Raw genomic sequence first — 23,430 nt, 5'->3', positions numbered from 1 at the left:
TGGGGAGGGATTTACACACATGCAATTATAGGCTGGGGAGCTGAGACCTAGGAAAGGAGGCAGTGGTTTCAAGGAATCTCTCCTTGGAGAGTCTATGGCTCTGCCATAGCAAGCAAGAATAGTAAAAAAGAAAGAGGAAATCTACTTGATTATTTTCCTCCAAAGAGGAGAGGAACATTTTGTTCCCTGGTGGTCTGAGCAGCTGCCCCTCCCTCCTGCTTGGCCACCATTGCTGGCAGGGTCGCCGGCTGGCTCCTGGAGGGCAGGACCCACATGCATGTGGCACTGTCATCCTGCCCTCTCCAGACACGCAGCTCAGACCTACCTGCTGCAGGACACTCCATGGTTTCTGCTAATGCTGAAGTGAGCTGCATGGCTAATTCATTCCTGGCACCTCTGAGAACATGAGCTCATCATATCATTAAAGGAATAAGAATAAACAGGAACAAGGGAGCTGCTCAGGAGTTGGGAAACCTCTGGCCCTCTGTGCCTCCCACACATCTTTGGAGAGACAAAGGGGCCAGAACAGCCCACAGTTCCTGGCTACTGCCCTTGGCAGCCTCTCTGTCTCCACTGCCAGCTCTGGGCCACCGCTTCTCCACAGCATGTGAGCCCCCCTGCCAGTCTTCCTTAGGCAACTGTGGGTACCACCCGCATCTCCAAGCCTGTGATGGCGTCCGAGGGCCTTTTGCTCAAGATAAAATCGTTCTTCCTGATTTTGAATTTTCACACTTTGCATTTCCTAGTCCTCTTACCCTGGATCCATGTTAACTCTTGCTCGTCAACAATCCAGCCAAGAAAATTTTTCTTTGGAATATTATTTGCTTTTTCTCACCTCTGAGTCATCTCCTGTCTTCTTCCACCTGCCTGGAATGTCCCCTTCCTTCTCTCTCTGAAGGGATGCCAGTAACTACATCATCCATTGCTAGAGGATCTGTTTCTGGTCTTCTGGTCCCTTCATTTGACTCCCTTTGCTATGGTCTCTTTAGCGATTCCCAATCCTTGCCTTTATTTTTTGTACCTTCCTATGCCTCCGTGTTTCTGGATTTCTCAGTCCTGTACGTGCCAGTAGGGGGATGCAATCTCCATTTCAGGTTGCATTGTTAGTGAGGCATTCTTCTTATTAAATAAATCGGGCTATATAAAATTTCAACTCAGCTGGGTGCGGTGGCTCACACCTGTAATCCCAGCACTTTGGGAAGACTAGGAGGGTGGATCGCTTGAACCCAGGAGTTGGAGACCAGCCTGGGCGACATAGTGAAACCCCATCTCTACTAAAAATACAAAAAATTAGCTGGGCATGGTAGTTCACGCCTGTGATCCCAGTTACTCAGGAGGCTGAGGCACAAGAATTGCTTGAACCTAGGAGGCAGAGGTTGCAGTTAGCCAAGGTCATGCCACTGCACTCCAGCCTGGGTGACAGAATGAGTCTGTCTCAATAAAATAAATAGAATAAAAAATTTCAGCTCTCCCCACCCCAGCATTGCATGCCCTCCTGCCATGTTTTATGTATTTTCTTAGCATTTCCTTCTTACATGACTTAATATGCAGTGGTGCCCTTTAATAGCACAACCCACAGTAACTTCAGCAAAGAGGAAATATGATTGGTGGCTGATTCCTGCCATCTGCAGCATGTTCACCCTGATATTTTATCAATCTCACAGGATCCCACACTTGACACTATTGAGATTTTTGGACCCTACTATAGAATTATGTGAGTCTTCTACATATTTTTGCAAATTTGTTTATGATTATCTGTCTCCTTCATTGGCATGCAACCTCTATAAAGACAAGGATTTTGTCATTTGGTTGGTGCCCCATGTCCAAAACAGTTCCTGCCCTCCTAGGTGCTCAGTGAGTGTTTCCTGGATGGATGGATGAATGCGCTCACCCATCCCACCCCAAAGCTGGGGCCCTCACACCTGCTATTTTTAGTCTTTGCCCACGGGCCCGTCTGAGGGCCAATAGGGCTAGTAAATTTAGCTGACTCACTGGCTGGCTGACTTTAGTGTATAAAGAGGTTCAAGCCCCAAGAGCAACCCCTCTGAGAAATTGGGCAAAACCCAGCCCAGCTTTCCTTCAGGGCAGCTGCTCCTCTGAGAAGGAAACCCAGTGCCACTAGGGTGAGGCTGTGTCCTGGGACAAGCTTCCTGATCGAGGGAGAGCCATCAGACCTGCCTGGGAGGGGATGTGGCTTTGGCTTTTCAGGAAGCCCTTCTGGCTCAGGCCTCGGTCTTGACAGAGCAGGGCTGGGCAGCCCTAGGAAGCACGTGTGCTGCTGTTTCTGGGAAGGGTGGGGAGGGAGGGGGAATGAGCAGGGTTGGGGTGGGAGCCAGATGGGACTTATGATTCAATGGTCCAGGCTCAATAGGTGATCAGGATGGAGCAAGGAATGGACAGAGAACCAGACGAGGGCCTGGCACTGCACTTCTGTGTGAATGAGGAAAAGGTGCTGCTCTGAGCAGATGTAATAGGAAAGGGTGTTTCCTCACAACGGCTGGACTTGCCCTGGTAAGGCATGGAGAAAGTCAGCCAAGCCCCAGGACAAGTCAAGGATTTGGTGTAAGGTGACTTGACCAGAGAAAGCTGAGATTGGAGGATGAGAATCTGGTCCCTCAGGGAATGGGTTACCAGGCAAGGAGCCCAGGCATGGGAGAGCAAAGCTGGGCTAGTTGCTGGGTAACAAGGCAACAGAAACTTGCTTAGTGGGAGCTGATACACCGAGGCCCAAGTATGTCAGCGTCAGGAATAACTTCAGGGTAATGAAAGCATTCCCAATCTCTGTCTGCACACGGATGGCCCTGGAGCACAAGGCACTGCTGGAGCCATGTCATGAGGCAGCCTCAGCAGAGCAGGCCGTAGTTCCTCAAAGAAAGACCCATTTGTGTGGTTTGTGGTAGCTCTGTGGCTCTCCAGGTATGGTCCCTGGACTAGCAGAATCCTCATCATCTGGGAACTTGTTAGATATGCAAATTCCCAGCCCTGCCCCACACTCACTAAGCTGGAAACTCTGGGGTGGAGCCCAGAAATCTGCATTTTAACAAGTGCCAGGTGATTCTGATACACTCTACACTTCGAGGACACTCTGTAGCTGAAAAGCCCAAACTCTTGTTTTAGAGGCTGCGCTGGGGTTGGGAGAAGGCACAGAGGTAGATGTTTATGGGAAATGTCTGCCTGCAAAACCAAGGCAAAGATTCTGGACTGAAGCTTGGAGAATGGACTTGGGCTATAGTGTTCATTCTGGTCTTAAACAGCATGAGGGGAGGCTTTTCCTTAGCCCTGATTCTAATCTCAAGGCATCATTTCTTATAGGCAAAAGGAGACACTGAGTATTAGAGAACACCAAGAAATTATTGTTTATTCTCTTGGGCATGAAAATAGTGCGGTAGTCATGTAAGAAAATGTTCATATTTTTGGGGGAGATGCATGTTGAAATATATGGGTAGAGATAGCATATCTTGCATTTGCTTTCAAAAAAACATTTCAGCAAAGATAGAAAAGGAAAAAGGGATAGATTGAGCAAATGTGGTAAAATCCTGATAATTGTTGAATCTGGGGGAGGTATATTTGGGGGCTCAATGTATTGTCCTCTCTGCTTTTTTGTATGTATGATATTTTTCGTTTTATGAAAGGATGAAACAAGCTGAGAAGCAAACAAATGTTAAGTGCTCAGCTAAAACCAACCTTATTTTGTGCAGTGTGCTGCTGCGTGAGGTTGACCTAACGGGGGCTGTCTCATGGGGTGCAGTAGAGCAGCTTACCACTCACCCTCAGCTGCCCGCCCAGCCTCCTAACCCAGATAGCCACCACCCTGCTCTCTGTCAGGACCCCCACCTGTAGCTTTCACAGTAGCCAGGGTGGCTTGAGCCTGCACACACCTGTGGGAACCAGAAATGGCCCAGCTGGATCTCAATTTTAGGGGAAAGGGAAGTTCTGCACCATTAAATAACATAGGCCTCAGGGAGGGGATCAAATGTCAGATGGAAAGGAAGAACCGTCTCCTCGGTCCCAGCCAGCTCCACCACCAGCTCCCCGCCCAGCTGCCAGCAGCGGCTGCCTCCTTCCCAGGGAAGACTGGTCCCTCAGTCTCAGCTTTCTCTGGGCTTTTCTGGAGGCTTTTTTTCTAACTTTTATGAGGGCTGCTTGGTTTTTCACTTTAAGCCCATTCCATACTTGTAAAATGTAGGTCTTTGATGCTGTTTAGCCATACAAAGCAGTCTTAGTTGTTTTTCTCATTGTCTAATTTCCGCTTAGGGATTTCTTGGTGAACAATTCAGAGGCCTGCAAAGGCTCTTTAGATGCCCACTGGGAGAATCCATTTTTTTTTTTTACTGTTAGATTGAGAAATTCATTTTCTTTTGTTTGCTGCTATGCTACAAGGTTTATTATTGCTGTTGTTTTAATGGTCACTTTTTTTTTTTTTTTTTTTTTTAAGACACAGTTTTACCCTGTTGCCCAGGCTGGAGTGCAGTGGCATGATCTCGGCTCACTGCAACCTCTGCCTCCCGGTTTCAAGTGATTCTCATGCTTCAGCCTCCTGAGTAGCTCGGAGTACAGGCATGCGCCGCGATGCCCAGCTAGTTTTTTGTATTTTTAGTAGGGATGGGGTTTTGCCATGTTGGCCATGCTGGTCTTGAACTCCTGGGCTCAAGCAATCCACCCACCTTGGCCTCCCAGTGTGCTGGGATTACTGGCATGAGCCACCATGCCCAGCCAATGGTGTCATTTTTTTCTTTTTTGGGAAAGGGGTAAGGGGTGAGTTTTACCTCAGTTCTGAAAGTCTCACTAGGCACAGGAGTGACTTCACTGTCCACCATCTTTATGGATTGTCCCTAGAAACCTCCAAGCCTAAAGTTCCTCCTCAGCCTTCATCTCCTGAGCTGCCTCCGCATTTTCTCATGTTGTACAACCTCCATGCTGGTTTGAAGGGGAAAGCTCTTTATTTTCCCATTTAAAAAAATAAAAAACTAAGGCTCTCCTTTCATTACAAAGCTCAGGGAACTGATACAGTTATATTGACTGTATTTTTGCATTATCTGAGCATTTTAGAGTTCCTGTTGCTAATTTTCCATAATGTGTTTTCTTTTTCTGGGGGGAAGTGGCGGGAGACAGAGTCTCATTCTGGTACCCAGGCTGGAGTGCAGTGGTGTAATCACTGGTCACTGCAGTCTCCACTTCCTGGGCTCAAGCGATCCTCCTGCCTCAGTCTCCCAAGTAGCCAGGATCACAGGTGTGCACCACCACGTGCTGCTATTTTTTTTTTTTTTTTTTTTTTTTAGAGACGGGGTTTTGCCATGTTGCCCAGGCTGGTCTTCAACTCCTGGGCTGAAGCAATCCACTTGCCTTGGCCTCCCAAAATCCTGGGATTACAAGCGTGAGCCACCACACCCGACCCCATAATGTTTTGATAAAATAAGCCACAGGCTTTCCCTTTTGTGCCAGAAGAGGAAACAGGAGCATGAGATTGATCAATAGCTCTTAGTCAGGGATGACTGGGAGTCACAGCTCTTCATGTACTTAACACACTCTTCACTGAGTATTCACACCTCAGGCTCTGTGCTAGCCAGTCAAGGAGCAAGTGGGCACTGCTGTGACAGAGCTGCGACCCCTCCTCGTCTCTCTGGGAGGCAGGGCAGGTGCTGGAACTGCCCTGCCCGGTTTCTACTAGCTGAACAGACTTGGATATTTGTTTTTTATTTTTTCGAGATAGAGTCTCACTCTATCACCCAAGCTGGAGTATAATGGCGTGATCTCAGCTCACTGCAACCTCTGCCACCCAGATTCAACTGATTCTCCTGCCTCAGCCTCCCAAGTAGCTGAGATGACAGGCGCCTGCCACTGCACCTGGCAAATTTTTGTTTTTTTAGTAGAGACGGGTTTTCACCACCTTGGCCAGGCTGGTCTTGAACTCCTGACCTCGTGATCCACCCACCTCGGGGTCCTAAAGTGCTGGGATTACAGGCGTGAGCCACCGCATCCAGCTGGACATATTTTTTAATCTGTTTATCCATCTGTAAATTGGGGATAAAATAGTGGCTACCGGATAGGCTTTATGTGAGGATGAAATGACATCATGCAGGTAGAGTGACCGCATAATTATTAGACGCATGCTCTCTTCACCGCCGTATGTCATGTGATGTGTTCGTGATGTAAGCCCCTCCTAGTTCATAAGCTCCTTGAAAGACCCCCACTCCATCCAACCCTGTCATCCTTCTGAGAAACACTTCCGGCTCCCCACTGTCTTCTAATTTAAGTACAAATGTTTCTCATCGGCCTCTTTAATGTTTATTGAGTACTTACTGCATGCCAGGTGCTTTTCATGCACTTTTCACATGCTCATTTTATCCTCTTTTCTTTCTCTCTGTGTTAAAACCTTAAATTCCAACAGACACCGAACCTTCTGCAGAAAAGGGCCATAGGAAAAGTACCTAAGGAAAGTTGAGAATCACCTTGAAGGCCCCCGCTCAATTCTTCTCCTATCCATCTGAATGGCGGTTAATTCTGCAAAGAATTCAGCCTCACCGGCCCTTTGCCTCCAGGCCGCTTCAGATAGGAGATTATAATTGTTATGGAGCCAGCCCAGGCCCCAAGATTGAAACAGAGATAATTCTTCGCCATTAACACGAATCTGGAGTCCTGTGGGACAAATTGGAAAAAGAGGCGGGGAGGCAGCAGGGGAGAAGGGAGAACTGTTTAATCTCTTTATTTTCAGGAAAACAGTCATTTTAATGATTCGCCCTTTAATTTATAAAACAAACACAGCTGTGGCTTGACGTCCTTTATCTGATTTCAGAGGCGCTAACCTTCCAGTGCCGGCTCCGGAAGGGCACCCAGCGCGGAGACCGACACGGGTCACGTCCTGGGCTCAGATTGCTGCCTTGACTTAGGGAGCAGGGGCTGGGAACCCAACTGCTGCCGGCGCGGAGGCCTTGCCCACACCTGTGTGGCACGGAGCAGACAATGAGCCACTTTCCCCATGTGATCCCTTTGAAACAATCGGAGATTGTTTCATCAGCTCCTCAAGATGTAGGGCAATGCCTGACACTTAGTGGGACTCATGAAAGGTTCCTCCAGTCAAGCAAAAGGCATTTATGTTAAGTGCCATGTGGAATCCTGGAATGGATTCTGGAACAGTAAAAGGATGTTTGTGGAAAAACTGGTGGAATTTAAGCCTGTAGTTTAGCTAATAGTAAAGGCCAAAGTTAATGTTATTAGTTTTGACAAATGTGCTGTGGGTATGTAAGATGTTAACATTAGCGGAACCTGGGAGTACAGGTGAAGAGTATGGAGGATCTCTCTGTATTAGCTCTCCAATGTTTCTGTAATATTCCAAAACAAAAAGTTTGTCATTCAAACAAAATTCTGAGGTTAGAAAAAAAGGCAGTTATGGAGGTACATGAAGAAACAAAACATGACATGAAAGATGACATTGTCCCTATGAAGCTTTGATTAAAAACATGTATATCAAAGAGTTATGAGAATTCAATAACAGCATAAGTGACCAGTGCTTCTCAAACTTTTAGGGGTACACAGGTACCCCAAATGGTTGAGGTGAGGGGCTAGAAATTTAGCACAAGGGTTCTAAAAACCTCTTTGAATATTTTAGCTTCAAAATCATAAATATTTTCGTTCTTTTTGTATTACGTAAAATAATGATTCTGCCCCCACAATTTCAGGTAAAATTACTTGAATACTTTGGGGAGATTTTCCATGTTTACTTTGGGGCTTTAGGTATCCCTGGTTATACATTCGTGACCATGGAGGTATGTGTCCTTATGACAATATGAAATTTAAGCCCTGTGTTTTTGGAAAATGGCAACAATTAAGAAATCCTCATTCCCCATGTTTTTATGTTCTGAAAGTGGGAAACTGCAAAGGGCTATCCTACCATTGAATACTCTGAGATAATACTTCCACATGGCTCCCAAAAGACTTGGGGTGACTCCCTTGCCTACCTGCCTCTAGAAAACCTCAGGCTCCCTTTCTTTTCTTTGATACTATGTGGAGAGACAAAAATTTTACCCCTACGCTCTTAGAATTTTGTTTTGTTTTGGATAGGCCTGAGAATGAAATTGGCAAGACAGATCAACAGGAGAAAAGCATTCATTGGCCAGGTGCAGTGGTTCACACCTGTCATCCCAGCACTTTAGGAGGCCAAGGCGGGCATATCACCTGAGGTCAGAAGTTCAAGACCAGTCTGGCCAACGTGGTGAAACCCCGTCTCTACTAAAAATACAAAAATTAGCCAGGTGTGGTGGTGTGCACCTGTAATCCCAGCTATCCAGGAGGCTGAGGCAGGAGAATTGTTGGAACGTGGGAGGCAGAGGCTGCAGTAAGTCAAGATCACAGCACTGCACTCCAGCCTGGGCGACAGACCAAGACTCTATCTCAGAAAAGAAAAGAAAGCATTCATTATTTAACACAAGTTTTATGTGACATGGAACCCTCATAAGGAAATGAAGACTCAAAGAAATAGTTGGAGTCAATTACTTATATACTGAATGGGACGAAGAATAGTAAGTTGTGAAAAAGCAACTAAATTATGTGGGGGAGGCATAAAGATAAGAGTTATTTTAATAAGTTCTGTGTAGAATTCTCTCAGTCTCAACCATCCATTCTTGATAAGAACATTGCTTTCCTTCTAGTATAGGGAGGGCATCTTTCACATGGAAATAGCCTCTTCTGCTTTTAAGAAACAGATGGAAGGTCAGAGTGATCTTTTTGCACCTGCTTTTTTTTTCAAATACCTTTAACCCAAAATACTCAACATGCCAGAGTGGGATGGGCATGGTGACTCACACCTGTAATCTTGCTCTTTGGGAGGCTGAGGTGGGAGGATGACTTGACCCTAGGAGTTTGAGACCAGCTTGGGCAACATTGTGAGATCATATCTCTACAAAAATTAAAAAAAAAAAAAAAAAGCCAGGCATACTATGATGTGTGCATGTAGTCCCAGCTACTCAGGAGGCTGAGGCAGGAAGATCACTTGAAGTGGTTCAAGGCTTGCAGTTTGAGGCTGCAGTGAGCTATGATGGTGCCACTACATTCCAGCCTGGGCAACAGAGTGAGATCCTGTCTCAAAGCCAAAAAAAAAAAAAAAACACCCCAAAAAACTAGAGTGCAGTGGCACAGTCTTGGCTCACTGCAACCTTCGCCTCCCAAGTTCAAGCAGTTCTCATGCCTCAGCCTCTGGAGTAGCTGGGATTACAGGTGTGCACCACCACACCCAGCTAATTTTGTATTTTCAGTAGAGACAGGGTTTCACCATGTTGGCCAGGCTGACTTCAGGTGATCTGCCTGCCTCAGCCTCCTAAAGTGCTGGGATTACAGGCGTGAGCCACCGCGCCTGGCCGACCTTTCTCTTTCACAGTGGGGACTCTGCATTGACTATTGGCTCAGTCCTCAAAAGTGGGACCAAGAACAAAAGACAGACAGATCTGTGAGGAACTTTGAAGCCATTTCCCCTGTGATAGAGGCAACACCCCAAAGCAGCGAAGATAGTCTGATGGCTGGTTCTGGAGCCAAGTCTACACTGGCTCCATATGAGAGAGCTGCCACTTGTAGTTACAAGCTATGATCCCAAAACTTTCTGCGTGCTTCTAAGAGACACCAGAGAATTTACAGAAGAAATCTGTAGGTGGGGTCATTTTTCCCTTTCTCCACTACGAACAACAAGAATAATAATAGCCTTCACTTGCACAGACCATCCAGGTGCCAGCTACTGTTCCAAGAACTTGCACACATGCACATACCCATGTATATATATCTATCTATAAGGTAGGTATATATTATCCCCCTTTTACAGAGGAGGAAACTGAGGCTCAGAGAGGGTAAGTAACTTGTCCATGATTACACAGCTAGTGACAGAGGTGGCCCTTATACCTCAGAAGCTTGGCTTCAAAGTTTGCATTTCCTACCACTCTGCTATGCTAATGCAGTAGCCGCATACACCTTTCAGGCAGCCCCTATCCCATGTGAGCCACAGGATGCAGACCACCCGAGTCTGCATATTGTAAGTAAGGTATAATGTCGGTCTCAGCCCCTGAGAAGTTCAGGGAAGACTTGCTCACCAGAACTGTCAGTGCATTTTCTTGTCCATGCCAGAGATGATAGAGTGTGCACATTAAGAATCTTATAAGTCTCTTTCAAAGAATTTCAAAAACATTGGTCTTCAAACTTCCAGGAAGAAGGTGAGAATTCAGATGGCTCATTCATTCAAAATGCATTTATAAGGCTGGGCGTGGTGGCTCACACCTGTAATCCCAACGCTTTGGGAGGCTGAGGCAGGCGGATCACTTGAGGCCAGGAATTCGAGATAAGCCTGGCCAACATGGTGAAAACCCATCTCTACTAAAACACAAAAAATTAGCTGGGTGTGGTGGCAGGTGCCTGTAATCCCAGCTACTCGGGGAGGCTGAGGCACAAGAATCGCTTCAACCCGGGAGGCGGAGGTTGCAGTGCGCCAAGATCATGCCACTGCACTCCAACCTGGGGGACAGAGTGAGACTCCATCTCAAAAAAAAAAAAAATGCATTTATTAGGGGCCTGCTGTATGCCAGGTACTTTGCTGGGTTCTAGAGAAGTGATAATTCAGACTTGGTGGTCCCTGAACTCAGGACACCTCTAGTCCTGGAACATGTGAAGATGAAGTGGAAAGGGAAGGATGTTTCTCCAGCCATGGGAAGACCTGGGTGGGGGCCCATTCTGCCATTAACCTGCTCTGTGACCTCTGGACTTCAGCTTCCACAGCTGTAAAGTGAGTGGGACTGGACAATCTCTGAAGACCGTTTCTAGCTTTAAAATTTGATTCCATGCCAGGTACAGTGGCTCACGCCTGTAACCCCAGCACTTTGGGGGGCTGAAGCAGGCAGATCGCTTGAGCTCAGGAGTTCAAGACTAGCCTGGGCAACATGGCAAAACCCTATGTCTACAAAAATACAAAAATTAGCGGGTCATGGTGGCATGCACCTGTAGTCCAGCTACTCGGGAGGCTGATGTGGGAGGATTGCTTGAACCTGGGAGGTCGAGGTTGCAAAGAGCCGAGATTGCGCTGCTGCACTTCAGCCTGGGTGACAGAGCAAGACTCTGTCTCAATAAAAAGAGAGAAAGGTCATCTTTGAGGAAACTGCTGCCCTCCGACCTACTTTCCTTTCTCTGGCATGGCTTGGGGGAGCACCTACCTCCTCAAGGTCAGGTTTTTCTTTCCTTCTCTCTACAAAAGTCAGCTTGGGAAGGGTGTGCCTCTTTGGACCAGCATTCCCTTTGGCTTCTGTCAGCATGAGACTTGAAGCCTGCAGAAGAAATTAAACACAAAGACTTGGGACACAGTCCAAAGAGAGACATTTCTATTTTAACTAAGAGTTCCTCCTCAAACCAAATTATCTTCTGTGGCAAGGCCATTTATAGCTGGGACTAGGAAAGGTAGGTAACAGTAACAAGAGAAAACATATTGGTCTAGCTTTTACATGTGGTACGTATTGGTCTAGCTCTTTATTGGGTAGATAAGTAGCTGAATGAGACAAGTGTCTCTTGAGGAACTTTCTATTTATGAGGCAGCTACCCCATGAAATTCCAAAAATAATTTTAGGAGGTTTAATATTAAAGACACTTACGTAATAAATCCATATGTAGACAGCTATACCCAGAGACACATCAAGATATAATAAATGGAGATATAAATAGAAAAATATATACATATAGTAAATGGAGATATAAATAGAAGAAAAATCTATGGTAATATATTTGTTGTGATAGAGTACTAAATTTAGCTTTGAGCTTTCTGGCAGCCAAGGCAAGATAGGAAATACGACGAGATATGTGTATCATTTTCATCTGGTAAAAAGAAGAATACCAGTGTGAGATGCTGGGATTGCCAAAATTCAGAAAGATGTTCAGGAGAACAGACTTCCATGTCATCAAATAATCCTACTAAATGTATTCAGGTCAAAAACACCCCTGTTTGTGTCTCCTTTCAGATAGTTTTATATTTAGTTTCTTGGGGTCCTCATTTCTGAAGGCTTTCATGTTACATAAAATATATTAAATAAATTTGTATGTTTTTCTCTTGTTATTAATGTCTTCTGTTATAAGGGCTTCAGCCACGAACCTTGCGATGGGTAAGAAAAAGAGTACTTTTCCTCCCCTACACTATAAAGGATATTGGTCAATTGAGAAAAAGATTGTATCAATGTTAACTTTAATAAAATTGATAATATACTATGGATATGTAAGAGAGTACTCTTATTCTTATTCTTAGTAAATACATACCGATGGTTTTAGGGGTTAAAGGGCCATGAAATATGTACAGTTGACCCTTGATGGCACAGATTTGAACTGCATTGGACCACTCGTGCATGGATTTTAGTTATACCAAGTGTGCCCAACTCTCCCACCTCCCCTTCCACCTCCTCCATCTCTGCCACCCCTGAGACAGCAAGACTGATTCCTCCTCTTCCTCCTCCTCCTCGGCCTACTCAGTGTGAACATGACAAGGATGAAGATTTTCTGATGATCCACTTCCACTTAATAAATAGTAAATATATTTTCTTTTTGTTATGATTTTCTCAATAACATTTTCTTTTCTCTAGCTTACTCCAGCTTATGTGTTAATTGATCATTTATGTTATTGGTAAAGCTTGTGGTCAACAGTAGGCTATGAGTAGTTAAGTTTCCGGGGAGTCAAAAGTTACATGAGAATTTTTGACTGCATAGGGGGTTGATGCTTCTAACTTCTGCATTATTCAAGGGTCAACTATACTTACTCTCAAATGGTTCAGAGAAACATTTGACATATATGTGCATGGGTAGGTAAAATTATATATTTGTATGTATTTATATGTGTGTGTATCGAGAGAGAAGAGAGAAAACGAGAAAGCAAATGATGAAACAAATGGGCAAAATATGAATCCAGGTAAAAAGTAGATGGGTTTTCTTTTTTTTTTCTTTTTTTTGAGATGGAGTCTCACTCTGTTGCCCAGGCTGGAGTGCAGTGGCACGATCTTGGCTCACTGCAATCTCTGCTTCCCGGGTTCAAGCGATTCTTCTGCCTCAGCCTCCCGAGTAGCTGGGATTACAAGCATGCACCACAACACCCGGCTAATTTTTTATATTTTTGGTAGAGATGGGGTTTCACCATGTTGGCCAGGCTGGTCTCGAACTCCTGACCTCAAGTGATCCACCCACCTCAGCCTCCCAAAGTGCTGGGATTACAGGCGTGAGCCACCATGCCTGGTGGATGGGTTTTCTATGTATGATTTATAATCTTGCAACTTTTCTGCATGCTTGAAATTATTTTTGAATAAAAAGTTTTAAAAATGTATGCTCTTAGATGAATAACTCTTTGGAACATGTTGTTACATAAACTTAAGACTTCTCTTCTTTTGTTCTTCAACAAACACTTCCTGAAAGAGAGATCAGCACTCTACCTCATTTCCCTGCCTTCAGCTCATGACTCGACCCAAGCAAAACTGTATTCCGTTTGCAGCTTTCTGCTGCAGCCACACTTACTAAGGCCAACCCCACCTCAGTGTTCTCCACTTGGCAGCCTCCCAGTGGGCCACATCCTTCATGACGTTCTATAGCATCTGATATTGTTGACCATGCCCTTCTACTTGGGACTTCTTCCAGATCTTGGCCCCACTGCACTGTGATGATGTCATCTCAATCATTTCTGGACTCATCCTTCTAAATGGAGGCTGTCCCAAGGTTTGGTCTTGGATTCTCTTCTTTTTTCTCTTTCTCCCTCTCCTTTTCAGCACCTGAACCCGAGGTGTGAAGATAACGATGAGGTTGACTTCCAGAATTGTATCTTTAATCTGATCCTTCTCCAAGACTCCAGAACTCCGTGTACAGTTGCTTTCATCTCAGCCTCCACGTATCCTGACTCACACTCTTCCACTTACCCTCAATCCTGTTCTGAGGTCACTTAGTAGATTATTCAGACTCATGACTCTGGCACCTTCTCTTCCTCAGCTTGCCCTATATCCAATCCTGTTGGTTATTCTCCTCTGTAATACATTTCCAATCTTTTTCCTCTTCACCATGGCTATTTCTCTGACCTAGTCAGGCCATCACCATCCTTGCTTTCATTGATGGAACAGCCTTTAACTGTTCTACCCATCTTTAATCTCTACCCCTTTGTCCTGTCAAGAACCTATATTTCTAAAACACTAATCTGATCACATTGCCCCTCTTCTGACATTTCTTCATGGCTCCCCAGTACAAATAGAATAAAATTTAAATATCCTAGGCATTCAAGGTCCTCCATTATTTAAAGATACCCTATCATTCTAACTTTGTCTTCAAAACACCAAGTACCCCACTCATGCTGGGCCAGTCACCATGCCCTGAATCCTCCTGCACTCCCTTCACTCGGAATCTCTGCCTCTCTCTCCGTTTATAACACCCCATCCTTCCTGTCACTTCAGACAGAACCCTCATGCTGCCTGCACCAGGAAGTCCTCCTAGGGCTCTCACAAGCTGAGTTGGCCTCTTGCTCCTGTGGGTTCCCTGGTGCCTTGCTGTACCTCTGGTGCTTTATATTCTTCATGCATCTGCACCACCTGATCCCATCCCTAAAGAACTGTCTGCTCCAAAGACAGGCGCTCCTTACCTGTGGCATCTTCGTCATTGTGGAGGCACTCAGCCAATGTCTGTGCTGACTCTGCAAACTCACAGTCTCACCTGTAAGAGGTAAAAATGCTTTTGCCAGCCTGTGACATTTTCCCTCTTGTTGACTAGAACCCAACTTTTAGCAACCTGTTTGGTTTTCCACTAGTCTGGGATTCAGGAGAAGACATGGTAGGCACTGGTTGGCAGAGCTGCAGGCCACACTGTCTGCTCCCTGGGACACGGACAGGAGTAGGCAGGGAGAGGATGCCTGTTGGAGAATCTGAATAGGGCTGGGAAGAAATAGGAAAGAAACAGCCCTTTGGTTTTGGGACATATCCTCACTAGAAGGCTGTGTCTTCTGGTATAAGGGAAGAAAAGCTTGCTTTCCTCAAACATTGCTAAGTTCATGGCAGAGGCCCCTATAATAAAAGAAAGATACCAAAAGAAAAGTATAGAAACTTATTTAAGTTTTACATGACACAAGAGTCTTCATGAGGAAATGAAGACCCAAAGAAACAGGCAAATGTGTATTTTTACGCTCAGCGTGATGAAGAGATGGGTAGTCATGGAGAAGTATGATTAGACAAGGGGGCATGATCTAATGGCAATAAACTAGGGAGGGTGAACTTAGCAAGGCCTGTTCATATTTTTCTCTGTGTCCCTGTGTTTTCAGACATAAGGATGTTCCTCTCCTCCAGGTACAGGGGGGCCCCCTCTCTGAGTGTCTTTTGACCCACTTCAGGGGAGAAGGGTGGAAGAAAGGTAAGAGGGACCTTCCTAGGTTTTATGACCTGCTGCTGCTGTTTCTGCGAATGCCAAGATGCCACGTACTGGGGGAGTGTGTCCAAAGCCCATTGCTGGGAAGCAGATGCTGAGACAGAGTCAAGAGTGCAGCAAGAGGTTTGTTGAGGGATAATGCCTGTGAAAGATGAAAGGGCAAGGAAGCCGAATTGGGTAGGGAGAGTCTGAGAATGCAATGCACATCTGACGATGTCTCTCTCAGCCAACTCACTGGGAATGCCATGCTGGTAGAGACTCCAAGCCCCACCCTCCACCATGCTCAGTCATTAGCTAGGGCTGACCAAGAAGAGGTAACCTCAGAGCCGGGGTGAGTCCCAAAGGCTCTACCAACTGGAGGCTGTCAGCCCACCGCACTCCTTGCAGTGGAGTGGCAAGTCATCTCTTGAGGGGAGATCCAAGCAGCACACCCCTGAAGCTGTCACAAAGGCAGTAGGGAAGCAGCTGGATCGGCGGGTCCAGCTGTGGAGATGTGGAGACATTAGTATCTCCCTCTCCGTCTGAGCCCCCCAACCCCCTATTCTCTAGGCCCACAAGTTTCTGAACCTGGTGCTCTAGGCATGTTAGTGACAAAGTATGGAGGGGACCAAGGGTCTCCCTAATCACCAGGCTAGGGTATGAGTAGAGAGGAACGAGGTTTCCAAATGGTGTGAGCTCTCTATGAAGCACAGCACAGGCTCCTGCCTCTATCAGTGTCTCCTCCTCCCTATTAGAGATGTGATCCTGAGTCTAAGTCTCCAGCCTGTTTGGAAATGTTTCATTCAACTGAAAAGGGCTGGTCGCTTTGTCATCTAAGCCTAGGCCTTCCACTTGCCTGCTGCCCCAGGGATACAGCAGAGACAGGCCACCCTTCCTCAACTTTCTTGTGCTGGAAATCACTGAATCCCTGATGCTACTGTCCCCTTAAGAAAGAAAGAAATGAGAGTCTTGCGTCCCTACAAATAGGACCCTCCCGTCACCACTCACCCTCCCCTCACCCTTCCCTTTCTTTCCCCCAAACCCAGACTGGTGAGAAACTGCCGAGAAACAACATCCACAATTAAGTACGAGGTCACATTTAGTTCAGCACCATTGGCTGCTTAATTGGCTGATTCTATTGCTGCTCTCCTCATCTGCCAACACAGCCTCTAACAAGCCGCTTGCAGAGCAATTAATCCTCAGGTTCCTGAGCCCCGGCCGATGGAAGGGTTTGCTCCCCTTCTGGGCATCATGGTTTCTGTGAACCTGCTGGTGTTGGGGAGTCGCTTCTCACCTAGAGGTCCTGGGTGAAACTTTCAGGGCTTAGAGAACCACATCATCCTAAGGAGGAGGAGGTTCCAAGATCCAGGAAGGAAGCTTGGCCTTTCTCCAGGGCCTTGAAAAGGCAGGCCTGACTGCCCTTCTAGGGTCTTCCGGGGAAAGGGAGTGGAGAGGCAGTAAAACTTAACGGTTGGATGATGCACAGAGTCGGGCAGGTCCTGGTCGAAATCTGGCTGTGTCCTTATTAGTGATATGACCTTGGGAAAACTACAGGTACTAATCTTTTCTAGGCTTCAGTTTTTTCCCATGTAAAACTGGGATCATAAGAATAACAGCAACAACTAGTATTCTATTATCACCTGCAAATAAGGATTATAGAATGTTTCTGAGTCCAGCATGCATTTTGCTGCTGTGAGAACAGTCATCACAAACATTGCCAAGGGGATGGGCTGCTTATGCCCCTTCTAAACATAGCTGGGAGAGGTTGTCAATGCTTACCGTAACTCTCTGTGCGAACATGCAGGGCCACCTAGGCCAAGCTGTGTTGCCAGTAAAAGGAAATGCCAGCCCCCTACTTTCTACCAAGACTTACAGGCTGAATGTGGGGCCGGTGGCTTGGTTTTGAAAACACTTCCATTCGTTCATTACCAAACCTAAAGCTTCTGGGCTGCTGTCATATGATGGCGTGCAGGAGCTGGAGCTCTCTAATAACTGCCCGACTGCTCTCATCTCGTGGCCGAGATGGCGGTCTCTGTTCCACCAGCTGTGGTCAGGAGAAAGGCAAATCCCAGAGAAAAATCACTTTTTTTTTTTTTTGTTATAGATGTTGGGGAAAAAATTGACCTTTAAAAAGTAGAAAAGATATCTTTTTCCTTTTGTTCAAATTCTGCCAAGGAGACTGAAAACCTAGGAAATCATTACCAATTCCTGTCTAGCCTACACCAGAGTTAGGGTGAATCCAGTTCAGTGTGGGTGGAAATAGTGATCAATGCTCGGGGAAGGTGATGTAAGTACTTCGACATGCTGGAAGGGATGCCTGGTCCCCCCAGCCTGCCTCCACACCCTTCACTTTGTTTACCTGATTTAGCAAGGGCTTTTGTGCTTCTCTGACTCATTTGCTAGGAAACTGAGAGGTGGGATCTGAGTTCTCAACTTGGGGAGTGGGGTTGGGCCATTATCCTTTCAACAGGTCTCAAAAACAATTGGCTTGATTTAAAAATAAAAAGTTACTTGAGATACCTAGGAAATGAGAGAATAAGAATGGAACCATTGAAATGTCTGGGTGTCTAAGGAATGTGCCTTTTCTGGATTTAGCTGTTTTCAATATCTCTAAGGAGGCTGGGACTTGGGGTGGGGGTGGACAGGACATGGGAAGGAGTCAGTAAAGTAATCATGTATGCTGGAAATTCAAGATAATCTCAAGCAATCATTCCTTTCAAAGTCTTCCTCAAAAATTTTACCAGGGTTAGTAAGGAGCTGAACTGCTGATTTGGAGTTGTACTTCCTTTTTTTTTTTTTTTTAAACCCCATCCTTTTAGACAGTCTTCTTAATGAGCAGGGGGTGGCTAAAAGGCAGGCAGGTTCTTAATGAGCAGGGGGTGGCTAAAAGGCAGGCAGGATGTGAGAACAGAAAGAAGGATAATCCACATAGATAATTGGGCTGTGATTAATCAAGGGCAATATTGCAGCCCTGGTTCTTTTAGGGGAAGCGCAGACAGAAAACACAGGGAAGAGCTTGGCATTTCAAACTCCTGAAGCCCTAATGAAGAAGAAATGTGTTCATGGGAGTGTTAAGGAGAGTGTCATATCATAAGTACCCAATTAAGGAAGCCCTTGCAAGATTATTCACTCCCAGGAAGTATTAAGAAGGGCAGGGAATTTGTTCGTTTAAAATCAAAACAACAACAACAACAAAACCTATAAGTTTTATAGACATTTATTGATTGGCTCCCCAATATCTATCCATTCTCCCCTTCCCCTTCTTAACAATACCCCCAACTTCCTCCGGGAAGTCATCCTCCCTCCCATTTTCAGCTGTGTGCCACAGGTGCTCCACCCCCAGTGTTAGGGAGGGAGCGCGTGATCTACTCTAAACCAATCAGTGCATCACTCTCCTCCTGGCCTTCTTGATTGGCTCCCAGTTGGGACCATCACCTTCATCTGCCCATCAGGGCCAACAAGACTCTGTTTGGGGTACTGCTGGCAGCCATCTTGCCCAAAGAAAGAGAGCCTCATGTGGGCAAAGGCTGATGAGGAAAGGAAGCTGGGAAATGCAGAGGAAAAAAAAACCCCAGCCTGTTCACATTGTTTGCGCCACTAGAACAGCTCTTCCTAGAAGTCAGCCCTACTCTAGACCTTTAGATTAAACGAAGCCGATAAAATACCTTGCTTATGTGAGCAGTTTGGATTGAATTTTTCATTATTTGCAACTGAAAGCATTCGATTGGAAGAAACCAACAGTAGAAGACCAAATGGGACGCAAAGTCAGCATCGTTGCTGGGAGAGGACATAAAGAGAGGAACACCCAGTTGAAACTCCACAATGCCTTCCTGTTATGCCCCAGATATGGAGCAGCTGATGTAGTCACAAGCCTTAGGCCTTGTTCTTGCCCCTACAGAGCCTGAAGTTACGGAAGCAAAGTCCAAGCTAAACCCTGGATCAAGATTAGCAGCAGTACTGTACAGGCCACAGCCTGTACCTGTAAACTGGCCAATCATTAACCCCTGCTTACTCTTGATGTGCAGGGAGTAGCGTGAGAGAGCATTGGGGCCTGATGCAATTTATGCACACCTTCAGGAAAACTAGTGGCATCACCTCCTCATGAAGGATGCCAGTCCCTCTTCCCTCTGTTCTGACAAGTTACCAACAAGGCCAAATGTTAGCTTCTCCTTGATAAAATAAAAGAATTCTCATTGTGGACTGTGCATGACCCTCTGTGCCAACGTCCTTGTCCGAGGTGGGTGGTGGACTTTTAGAGGGAAATGCCGGCATAATTTGTTTTGTAAAGTCTGTTCCTGGTTTGTAAGTGATCTGAGACAGGATGAGCCCTGATTCCCATAGCATAGGACCTAACATATGGGAAGTACTGGCTAAATATTTAGTGAATGAATGAATAGGACAATGAATAAATGAACTCCTTGGAACTGGAGCTATAAGAACTGCCTCACCCAATCTCTCACTTTGGGGGATCCATAAGGAAGGGATATATAGAGCAGGGATGAAGGGAAGCCCCAAGTAAACTTTCCTAGAGGAACAGCTGCTGACCAACTGTGCGACCTTGGGCAGGTGATCAGGAGTCTCTGAGCTCACCATCTTCATCAGAAAACAGAGTACTAGCATCTGCCTTATAAGGTTGCTGCAAGGGTTAAATTAGAATTATGAACATGATATATCAGCACATAGCAGATGCTCAGTAAATGTCTATTGCTTTCCCTCCTCATCCCAGCCCTTGCCACTCCTAGCATTGGCCAGAGATGCACAATCTGTGGGAATAACTGCCTAGAGGTGCACTGGTGCTCCCTTTTGTCTCTCAGGAGTCTCTCTGCCATAAACGGCAGCCCTGCAACTAGGGCATCTCCTGCACTTGGGAACCATCTGAGTTTTCTGTGGCTGCTATAACAAATGACCACAAATTTAGTGACTTGCAGGAATACAAATTTATACTGTCACACTTCTGGAGACAGGAAATCTGAAATTAGTTTCAGTGTGCTAAAGTCAAGGCGTCAGCAGGGCTAGTTCCTTCTGGAGGTGCTAGGGGAGAAGCCGTTTCCTTGCCTTTTTCAGTTTCCAGTGGTTGCCTTTATTCCTTGGCTTGTGGCCTCTTCCTCCATTTTTAAAGCGCATGACTCCAAGCTCTGCTTCAGGCCTCCTATCGCCATCACTTCTGTAGCCACATCTCCCTCTGTTTTCCTCTTATAAGGACACTTGTGATTACATACAAGGCTCACTCAGACAAGTTCAGGATAATCTCCCCATTTCGAGATCCTTAACTTAATCATCTCTATTAAGTCCCTTTTGCGAGATGAGATAATGTTACAGTAGGTAGGCAGGCAGGGATGAGCAGGAAAAGATAGGGCCCCCACCCCAACCAGGAATGTCAGGTAACCATTAGGTGATGGTCAGGCAGTTGTTAAACTGTCTCTCTAAAATAATAATTAGTCACAGCCAGCACTAAGAAAAGGCAATTTTCCATTAGAAAGAAAACACCTGAAGTGGGTGATCAGCAGGAAGATCTCAGGAGTTGGGTGAGTGGACTTGAGCATGTGCACTAAGAGGCAAAATGGCGGAGTTTAACTGGTATGTGACCTTCCTCTACACCTGACTGGTAAGGGAAGAATGCCTCAAGTGAGCATGCATACAACTTCAGTGAACACACTGTGCATGCAGCCCTTCCCAAGTGCTGGCCAGCCACTGTACATGCGGACAGCCCACCCCAAGGGAAGAATCAGGGGAGAAGGAGTGCAGACCCCGGAAGCATGCTGATATGGTTTGGCCGTGTCCCCACCCAAATCGCATCTTGAATTGTAGCTCCCATAATTCCCACGTGTTGTGGGAGGGACTTGTGGGAGATAATTGAATCGTGGGGGGCAGTTTCCCCCATAATGTTCTCATGGTAGTGAATAAGTCTCATAAGAGCTGATGGTTTTATAAGGGGTTTCCCCTTTCACTTGGCTCTCATTCTCTCTTGCCTGCCACCCTGTAAGACGTGTCTTTCACCTTCTGCCATGAATGTGAGGTCTCCCCAGCCACACAGAACTGTGAGTCCATTAAACCTCTTTTTCTTTATAAAGTATCCAGTCTCAGGTATGTCTTTATCAGCAGTGTGAAAACGGACTAATACATGTGCCAACGTATAAAGCCGCAAGTCACAGATCAAACAGTGCAGTTGAATCGCTCGAGTTGCCTACTTGGCCCTCTTCCAAGTGTACTTTACTTCATTTCATTCCTACTCTAAAACTTTTTAATAAACTTTCACTCCTGCTCAAAAACTTGCTTCTGTCTTTTACTTTCCCTTACGCCCCCTCGTTGAATTTTTTCCTCCGAGAAGGCAAGAATTGAGGTTGATGAGAGAACCTGAACAGAACAGAACAGAGACCTGTTCCGATTTGCTGCTGCCAACAGTAACACTCACACGTTCCAGGGATTAGGATCTGGGTATCTTTGGGGGCCTTTATTCAGCCTACCACAGGAATCAAGTCATAGGGAAGCTTGGTTGGGCCACGCCACACTCAGGGGCCTGCTTCTCTCTGCCTTGGACAATGGCTGTGCCACCAGGGGAGACAAAATGTACCTCTCCTCAAAGGGCTCCAGGGCTGCCCTGTGAGTTGCATTTTGTTTTTCCTGGTGAACTCTTTCTCCTAACCGTTGTCATTTGTCAAAGGCGGCAGGCAATCAAAGTCCTGGCCACATTCATCTTGCCCTCCCTCTCTTCCTCCAGGATGCAGGCCCATGACAGCTATTGCTGCCAGCCCTGGGCCCCCCACAGCCTGACATATGAAGGCTGTGAGGATGCCCAGTTGTTGGACCTGGCTCTGCTCCAGGCTGTCAGCCCTTCCATTAGTAGGAAGCAGGTCAGAGCTCTCTCTAAAGCTTCAAAAACATCGCCCCAGCCGTTGGACAGACCGGCAGTCACTTGAGCCTGTGGTAGGTATCCAAACCTCAGGAAAGTCTGTCTCACACAGGCCTGAGCTGGGCTTCACAGAGGAAGGGCATTATGTCAGTGAAAACAAAATGAAACCGCAGGGTCCTGCTTGGTGGGGCTTTGTTCTGCCAAATCCTTCAGGCTACCCGGCTCTGCCCGAGCCTCCTCCTCACTGTGCCAGGACATTCTTCAGTGACTTTGCAAGAGCAGGACAGCTGGCTTCCGGGGAGTGTGAGAAATGGCTTCAGAGGAGCATCCTCTCTGGAGGGTGGGGGAGAAAGAAAAGGGGAGAGAATTCTCATACCGGGAAGGTGGGAGGTAGTTCTTGTCAGGATCAGGATGAAATTGAGATGTTGCTCTGGCTGTTATTCATGAGTGACTATTTGGGCTAAAGTATTAATTTTTAATAACATGAAGGATGAACATGTTATAACTACCTCTAAGTAAAATCGAGATAGGAAAGAATAACCGCAGATGCTGGGAAATGGCTTTTTAAAACATGCATTTTCTATGGATAAATATAAGTCTGTATGCATTTATCCAATGCCCTCATGTGTGCAGAAATGTGAACATACTTTACTAATTCAGGTTAATTGGGTGAGATGCCTAAGTGAAATGTCTGAATTCATATTTTAATAAAGAAATGCAGTTTTATTATTTTCAAGAGCTTTGAGTAATGGGGCTAACAAGATGTTACCTAGGAGACATATTTATGGATTTATTCTTTAGGTAGAAAAGACTCCAATTTAGAATGCAGCAATTGGAGGGCAACGCTGGCAAATTGAAGGTGTGTTCTGAGTGCAGGTGGGGATGTGTTGGAGGGTTTTGATTCATAGAAAACATTAACTTGTATTAATCATTCTGGACATCAGTGCTGCGGTTTTAGGCACCAGACATAGCCATCCCCGCATGCCTCCCTACACACACACGCACACACACACACACAGGCATGCATGCACTCCATAGCATGTAATTCTGTACCAACCATGACACATCAAAGCAGAAAAAGACCTTTTCAGTCATCTGGTCAACCACTGAACCCATGAGGAGCTGGAGGGGCAGAGAGGTGAGGTGACTTGCCCAGCAGCCCACTAGAGAGTGAAAGAACTAGAATTGGGATGTGCATTCCCACTCCCAGATCA

The 23,430-nt window shown here is 46.1% G+C and overlaps 4 annotated features.

The window, feature by feature from the left end:
- Nucleotides 6,297-6,838: an enhancer, noted in NCBI's record as "NANOG-H3K27ac-H3K4me1 hESC enhancer chr2:202814209-202814750 (GRCh37/hg19 assembly coordinates)". NCBI's record gives its function as "activates a minimal SCP1, AML or CMV promoter by ChIP-STARR-seq in naive H9 embryonic stem cells {active_cell/tissue: H9 hESC(naive)}" and the evidence as "EXISTENCE:reporter gene assay evidence [ECO:0000049][PMID:30033119]".
- Nucleotides 6,824-7,118: an enhancer, noted in NCBI's record as "tiled region #8332; K562 Activating non-DNase unmatched - State 20:ReprD". NCBI's record gives its function as "activates a minimal TATA promoter and a strong SV40 promoter by Sharpr-MPRA in K562 cells {active_cell/tissue: K562}" and the evidence as "EXISTENCE:reporter gene assay evidence [ECO:0000049][PMID:27701403]".
- Nucleotides 6,824-7,382: a biological region, named in NCBI's record as "NANOG-H3K27ac-H3K4me1 hESC enhancer GRCh37_chr2:202813665-202814208".
- Nucleotides 6,839-7,382: an enhancer, noted in NCBI's record as "NANOG-H3K27ac-H3K4me1 hESC enhancer chr2:202813665-202814208 (GRCh37/hg19 assembly coordinates)". NCBI's record gives its function as "activates a minimal SCP1, AML or CMV promoter by ChIP-STARR-seq in naive H9 embryonic stem cells {active_cell/tissue: H9 hESC(naive)}" and the evidence as "EXISTENCE:reporter gene assay evidence [ECO:0000049][PMID:30033119]".

This window comes from Homo sapiens, chromosome 2, assembly GCF_000001405.40.
Source record: "Homo sapiens chromosome 2, GRCh38.p14 Primary Assembly".
NCBI classification, from domain to species: Eukaryota; Metazoa; Chordata; class Mammalia; order Primates; family Hominidae; genus Homo; species Homo sapiens.
This window is presented reverse-complemented; position numbering and strand designations above follow the sequence as displayed.